This window comes from Homo sapiens, chromosome 7 (genome assembly GCF_000001405.40).
Source record: "Homo sapiens chromosome 7, GRCh38.p14 Primary Assembly".
Lineage (NCBI taxonomy): Eukaryota > Metazoa > Chordata > Mammalia > Primates > Hominidae > Homo > Homo sapiens.
The window spans coordinates 5,273,556-5,281,351 of NC_000007.14; positions in this window are offsets into that span (position 1 = coordinate 5,273,556).

Sequence of the window (7,796 nt, forward strand, 5' to 3'; positions counted from 1 at the left end):
CACGCCTGACTAGTTTTTGTATTTTTAGTAGAGATGGGGTTTCACCATATTGGTCAGGCTGGTCTCGAACTCCTGACCTCAGGTGATCCGCCTACCTCAGCCTCCCAAAGTGCTGGGATCACGGGCGCGAGCCAACGCACCCAGCCCCCGCCGCCCCTTTTTATCTCTCTGTCTCTGAAATACCCCAGTCAAGGATCCCACCCTGTGTATGGCCCACTGTGTGACCAGCTGCTTGGCAGGTCCTGGGCCGCTGCTCCCAGGGACAGGTGCCTGGCATAGGCGGGGAGGCACTCTCTCTCGATTTACTTTTCTACAGCATACATTTCTGGATTGGTGAAATATTATCTTTGTCTTTAGAGGGAACAATAAAGCTATTTTCAGCTTGGGAACAAATGAGTGCAATGGTAAATAAATCCCCAAGGCCGGTGCTGGGCAGGCCGGCGCTGTCGTCACGGTGGAGGCTGCCAGCCTTCCTTCCCGGGAAGGGCTTGGTCTCAGGGTGCGGGCACAGAAAGGATGTGTGGAGCCCAGGAGCAGAGGGGCGGGAGGGGAAAGGAGACAGGGAGCATCCTGGAGCCACGAGGCTGGACAGACCCGCAGGTTTTACGGATCCAGACACTGAGGCCCAGAGAGGGTGAGCGCCCTGCCCCAGGACACACAGCCTGCAGGTGCCTGGTCCCACTTCCTGGAGCTCTGCCGGGCACCACGGCTCCAGGGAGTGCTCCAGTGTTTTCTCAGCACTTGGGAACAGATGGCTCCAACTCTCACCCACGGACGCCAAACATTTTCCCTGGTTACCCTGCTAATTTGCTCACAGCCTCCTCTTGTAAATAGAGAGTACAAAGGCTTCTCCGAGTAGTGTGTATGCCGGGCAGACGCTGATGCCACGGGGAGAGGCCTTAGAAGGAGCACAGGAAAGTCCCAGGTAAGAACCAGGTAAGGCCAGGATCCTCGGCTGACCTGGGGGTCTTGGGAAGGACAGTGGCTCGGGGCCCAGGCAGACCTGGGTTCAGGTCTTGGCTCTGTGCTCCCTTGGAGCCCGGCTGGGAACCTTGCACTGGCCTCAGGCCCTCTGGCATCAGTTTTCTCATCTGTGAAATGGGCACGTTAATGCCAAAGGCATAAAACAGGAGCTATTATGTAGGCGCTCAGGGACTGGATGAATCTGTGGGAATCTAGCCATCCTTCCTGCCTTCATCTGGGGTCAACAGGGTGGGGGCTGCACCCTGGGCAGCATCCCTGCCTCTCCGTCCCCAACAGTAGTCCCTTCACCCAGCCCTTTTGACAAAATTCTTTCAACAACACTTATCAGGCCCTCCTCGGTACCCAGCCCTGTCACGAGGCCCAGAGAGGAGCTGATTCAAGCTTCCACACTGGGTGGCCTTGGGCAGCTGCCTTCACCTCTCTGGGCCTCATTCCCTTGAGCCTCCCACAGAGGTCACAGGGAGGATTCGATGAGACGATGTGTGCTCAGGGTGCTCAGAGTCACTCCTACCATGCAGCAGTCAGGGAAGGCTTCCTGGAGGAGGCAACACTAGTCCTTACCCCTTACAGATGCATGGGCATGATTGGGTGTGGCTGGTGCTTCCAGTGGGGGGTTGGGTGGGGAGGCACCTCATGGGCTCGAGCAGGGCCTGGGGTGCCCAGCTGCATGGAGGGGTTTGGAGCTGGCTGGAAAGGGGACTCCAGGCCGACCTCGGGTCCCTTGGGCCTCCCTCCCCTGTAACCTCGTTCACAGCAGCCCAGCTGGTAATGAAGTGCTCCTTCCAGCCGACAGCTCCTGGAGCTGGGCCAGGAGGCTCCTCCTGTCCTGGGCCTGCCTCCAGCTGCGGCCCGCAGTCCCAGAAAGACTTTACCGCACCTCTCCGGCCTGGGGTGTCCTGGGGGATGAAGCTCCAGGAGGCCACCTATGGCTTGGGGCCCCAGTCCCAGAAGCCTGGCCTGGGGCGCACCTCTCTGGTCTTCAGGAAGAGGGGCCTGGAATGAGAGTGGGGGCGTCCAGTGGGGCAGCTTAACCGGGCAGGGCTGACGGGACCGCGGCCTGGGGAGGGACCAGAATCTGCCTGGCCTCACTGTGTGACTTGGGTGAGCTCCTCTACCTCTCTGAGCCTGGGCTTCCCATCTGTCTGGGATGTCTCCCCTCCTGTAGTCACTGTGAGGTTCTGAGCAGAGGACACTCTTGGCCCAGAGCCTGGCGCGTAGCTGGTGGGTGAGCGCCAGCCCCTCCCTGTTCCTGCAGAGCCCTGCCGTTCAGCGCACACAGGCTGCCTTGCCCTCTCCAGAGAGGATCATGGGGCTTAATTTGTTGATTGAATTTGCTTGTTTGGCCCAGATGGTTGGGTCTCATTTTCTTTCTTCTTTCTTTTTTTCTTTCTTTTTTTTTGGAGCCGGAGTCTTGCTCCATCACCTGGGCTGAAGTGCAGTGGCACGATCTCGGCTCACTGCAACCTCTGCCTCCTGTGTACAAGCGATTGTCCTGCCTCAGCCTCCCGAGTACCTGGGATTACAGGCGCGCACCACCATGCCTGGCTAATTTTTGTATTTTTGGTAGGGACGGGGTTTCGCCACATTGGCCAGGCTGGTCTCAAACTCCCGACCTCAGGTGATCCACCCACCTCGGCCTCCCAAAGTCCTGAGATTACAGGCGTGAGCCACCACACCTGGCCGTGGGTCTCGTTTTCTCTTGCAAGTTTGACTCCATGGTGCCTGAATGCAGGGGAAGCAGGCGGTGTCACGTCCCGGCAAAGGCAGACATGGGGCTGACGCGGAACGGCCCAGGGACTCTGATCCTGGGGCTCAGCGAGTTTGCAAGGGGTGTTTCTGTCCACGGTCAGGCTTGCCAGCCTTGGTCCCTAGGCCCACCATAAGGTGGCCCAGTCCTGCCCCTGTCTTGGAATTGCTGAGAGCAGAAATGCAGTAATGTGTCACCATGATGATGGCTGGTGTCATGCGATCAGACCCACCATTCCTCAGTGGGACCCCCGCCTCACCACTCACCAGCTGGCTCCCTGGTCTGCAAAAGGTGGTTCGCTGGTACCCAGGTCCCTGTGCGAATGAGAGGAGCTGACGTCTATGAAAGCCACTCCCTGCACCCGGGGAGACTGAGGAGGTGGGAGGCTCTCGTCCCCCGAAAGCCCAGCCGGCCAGCCCCCTCTCCCTCTGCCTCCGCAGGGAACCGTGTCCCAAGCAGGGCCCTTCACCCCATCTCTGTCTGATCTCCACTGCGTGTACGGATTGACGGGAAAGATTCTAATGGGCTTTAAGTTAATAAGCTGGGAACGAATTAAGTTTGATCTCTGCCAGAAGCAGATGGCACAGCTGCCCGGCCTGGAACAGCCCGGCTGGAGCAGTGGCAGGCGGCAAGGGCTGGGTGGGGGTTTGCCCCACTGGGCTCTCTTTATTTTTCTCTCCTTCCCCCAACTTTTTTTTTTTTTTTTTTTTTTGAGACGGAGTCTTGCTCTGTCACTCAAGCTGGAGTAAAGAGGTATGATCTCGGCTCACAGCAACCTCTGCCTCCCGGGTTCAAGTGACTCTCCTGCCTCATGCTTCCAAGTAGCTGGGATTACAGGCACCCGCCACCACACCCTGCTGATTTTTGTATTTTTAGTAGAGGCAGGGTTTCACCATATGGGCTAGACTGGTCTCGAACTCCCGACCTCAGGTGATCCACCTGCCTTGGCCTCCCAAAGTGCTGGGATTACAGGCTGAGCCACTGTGCCCGGCCTCTCCTCCCCCCAAACATTTTATTATGTTTTATTTTAAAGAGATGGGGTCTCGCTTTGTCTCCCAGGCTGGTGTGCAGTGGTGGGATCACAGCTTACTGCAGCCTCCGCCTCATGGGCTCAAGCAATCCCCTCACCTCAGCTGCCTGAGTAGCTGGGACTACAGGAGTGGACCACCATGCCCAGATAATTTTTAAAATTTTTTTAGAGATAAGGGTGTCAGTATGTTGCCCAGGCTGGTCTCGAACTCCTGGCCTCAAGCAATCCTCCTACCTCACCTTACTATGAAATTTTTAAACATAAAAAACAGTGGAAGCTGAGCATGGTGGCTCACACCTATAATCCTAGCATTTTGGGAAGCTGAGGCGGGAGGATCGCTTGGGGCCAGGAGTTTAAGACTAGTCTAGACTACATAGCAAGAACCCCATCTCTATTTTTAAAAAAAGGGCCCGGTGCAGTGGCTCGCACCTGTAATCCCAGCGCTTTGGGAGGCCAAGGTGGGTGGAACACCTGAGAACAGGAGTTCGAGACCAGCTTGGCCAACATGGCAAAACCCCGTCTCTACTAAAAATACAAAAATTAGTCAGATGTTGTGGCACGCACCTATAATCACAGCTATTCAGGAGGCTGAGGAAGGAGAATCTCTTGAACCCAGGAGGCGGAGGTTGCAGTAAACCGAGATCGCACCACTGCACTCCAGCCTGGGTGACAGAGCAAGACTCCATCTAAAAAAAAAAAAAGAAGAACAAGAAGGCCAGGAGGTGGCAGCTCACCCTCCTGTAATCCCAGCACTTTGGGAGGCAGAGGCTGAGGTGTGAGGTTCACTTGAGGCCAGGAGTTTGAGACCAGCCAGGGCAACACAGTGAGACCTCATCTCTATTTTTTAAAAAGTGGAAAGAATTACACAGTGAAAACTCACGTGCTCACTGCCCGCATTCTGCTCTCTGCCTTTTCTGATCCCTACCTATCCATCTATGTAGCTCCCTATCCACCTGCCAATTCCAAATTTTCACGCATTTCAAAGTCAGTGGCAGACATTAGGGCACTTGGCCCTTAAACATGCATATCGTTAGCTAGAGGTCAAAATGTGGTATGGGCTTTGTTTAGTTTTGTTTTTAGGCACAGCTGATAAACAGTGAAATCTATAAACTTCTTTCTTTCTTTCTTTCTTTTTTTTTTGAGACGGAGTCTCACTCTGTCTCCCAGGCTGGAGTGCAATGGTAAGATCTCAGCTCAGTGCAACCTCCGCCTCCCAGGTTCAAGCAATTCTCCTGCCTCAGCCTCCCAAGCAGCTGGGATCACAGGCATGCACCACCACGCCCAGCTAATTTTTGTATTTTTAGTAGAGACGGGGTTTCACCGTGTTGCCCAGGCTGGTCTCAAACTCCTGAGCTCAAAGTGATCCGCCCTCCTTGGCCTCCCAAAGTGCTGGGATTGCAGGCGTGAGCCACTGCGCCCAGCAGGAAAGTAGAAATTCTTTAACCAATTTCCCCATGCCCTTTCCATTGTTCTATTTAGATTTCTTTCTTTCTGATAACAGCTTTTCTGCTTATTTATAGTTTACCAGAAAATCATTTTACCCAGTTTTTTCCTTTTTTGTTTTTTTTTTTTTGTTTTTGGCACACAGCGGAAGGTATCTTTTGTGTTTCCCTTTGCTGTTTCTGTATCCCCTAACGCTGTCATGCTGCCAGCTTTCCATATTATTCTAAATCTTCCTAACCGCATAGCCTGGTGGTGACTTCAGATTTCTCTGCAGGGTTACATATTATTTCACTGATTTCTCTGGGTTTTTCAAATATAACAATCATGTCATCTGTTCCCCATGGCGGGTAACGTAAATCGGGGACTCGTCTTGGCCAAGGGGACTATTTGCAGTGTTTGGCTCTTATGACGAACGTCTTTGTATATAAAAACTTTTCTGCATTTAGAAATATTTCCTCAGGCCAGATTTTTCTGGACCAAAAGGTAAGCATGTCTTTTAAGCCAGTTTATGTTCCAAAAGGGTTGGTCCCATTTTCAGTCCCACCAGCAACCCAGCAATGGGGAGATCTGGAAAAAAAAAAAAAAGAAAAAGAAAAGCCTTGTGGCGGGCGCGGTGGCTCATGCCTGTAATCCCAGCACTTTGGGAGGCCAAGGCAGGCAGATCACCTGAGGTCAGGAGTTTGAGACCAGTGGTGAAACCCTGTCTCTACTAAAAATACAAAAATTAACTAGGCGTGGTGGTGGGTGCCTGTAATCCCAGCTACGTGGGAGGCTGAGGCAGGAGAATCGCTTGAACTGGGGAGGCAGAGATTGCAGTGAGCTAAGATCGCACCACTGCACTCCAGCCTGGGTGACAGAGCGAGACTCTGTCTCAAAAAAAAAAGCATTGCTCCAAGGATTCCAACCCCTCACCATGGCCAACAAGACCCCCCTTGGCTGTTTCCCTTCTCCAACCTCACCTCCCTTCTCCCCGCTGTCCCTGTTCCCACAACAGTGGCCCTCCTGTTCTTGAATTAAATGAGCTGTTTCCAGACTCAGCACTTTGCATTGGCTGTTCCCTGTGCTGGGAACACCCTTCCCACTAACATTTCCATCATTCAAATCTCTCAGTTCAGATATCGCTTTCTCAGACCACCTGGATACCAAAGCCCAGCCCTGTCCCCTAGTCACGTGCTGGTGCCTGCTCCACCCCCATCTAGTCTTCCAAGCATTTGATGCTTCCGAAATTACTGTACCTGTTTATTGCCAGCACCCACCAGTTAAGTGCAACTCCAGGGGAGCAGGGACCCCTTGATGCGTCCCCTGCCTCTAGAAAATGTCTCACATGCACCTAATAATGTTTTTATTATTGATTTACTTATTTATTTTTAGAGACAGGGCTTTGCTCTATTGTCCAGGCTGGGGGGCAGTGGCACAATGATAGCTCACTGCAGCCTCCACCTCCCAGGCTAACACAATCCTCCCGCCTCAGCCTCCCGAGTAGCTGGGATTACAGGCACACACCACCATGCCCAGCTTATTTTCGCTTTTTTTTTTTTTTTTTTTTTTCTTGGTAGAGATAGAGTCTCTATGTTGCCCAGGCTGGTCTCAAACTCCTGGGCTCAAGCCATCCTCTCGCCTTGGCCTCTCAAAGTGCTGGGATTATAGGCGTGAGCCGCTGCACCTGGCCCACCAAATAATTCTTATCTGGAAACCCCACCCCCACATCCAGGACAAGGCAGGGATCCCCGTTGAAAGCTCTAGGCTTATGGGAAGCACTGGAGCTTGTGAACTTTATTTTTATTTTATTTTATTTTATTTTTTCCAGATGGAGTTTTGCTCTTGTCACCCAGGTTGGAGTGCAGTGGAGCCATCTCGACTCACTGCAACCTCTGCCTCCTGGGTTCAATCAATTCTCCCGCCTCAGCCTCCTGGGTAGCTGGGATTACAGGCGCCCACCACCACGCCCAGCTAATTTTTGTATATTTAGTAGAGACGGGGTTTCACCACGTTGGCCAGGCTGGTCTCGGGCTCCTGACCTCAGGTGATCCGCCCACCTTGGCCTCCCAATGTGCTGGGATTATAGGTGTGAGCCACTGCGCCCAGCCGTCATGAACTTTAAGATTAACTAGTTGGAGCAATGGACTGGGCCCCCCTGCAGCAGCACCCCCAACCTCCGCCCAGACAGCAGCAGAGGAAGGAGAGGGGTGTCCCGCCCTAAGAGTGCGTCAGCAGCCCCCGCCACCAGGTGATTCCATTCACCTGGGAGAAAACGGAGGCTCCCAGGTGAATGGAGTCACCTCACTCAACACTTCCTTATTCAGCTCCCAATGCAGTCTGCCCTTCAAGCAAATATTTGGCTCCTGCTGTATGCCAGCCCCTGTATGCCTCACTGCGCACTGAGGATCCAAAGAGAACGAAAGCAGGTCTCTACTTTCAGGGGGCTCCCAGTCCTTTAGAAGGGATGGGCAAGGCCTGGAGCAAAGGTGCTGACCCCATTGGTGGCGGGGCAGAAGAAACCGTGGGGGCTCCCTGGAGCGCTGACAACGGAGATGTTGCTTAAGGGGGAGAAGGAGCTGATCTGGTGGAAAGTGAAGGAAGGGCCTCAGGTAG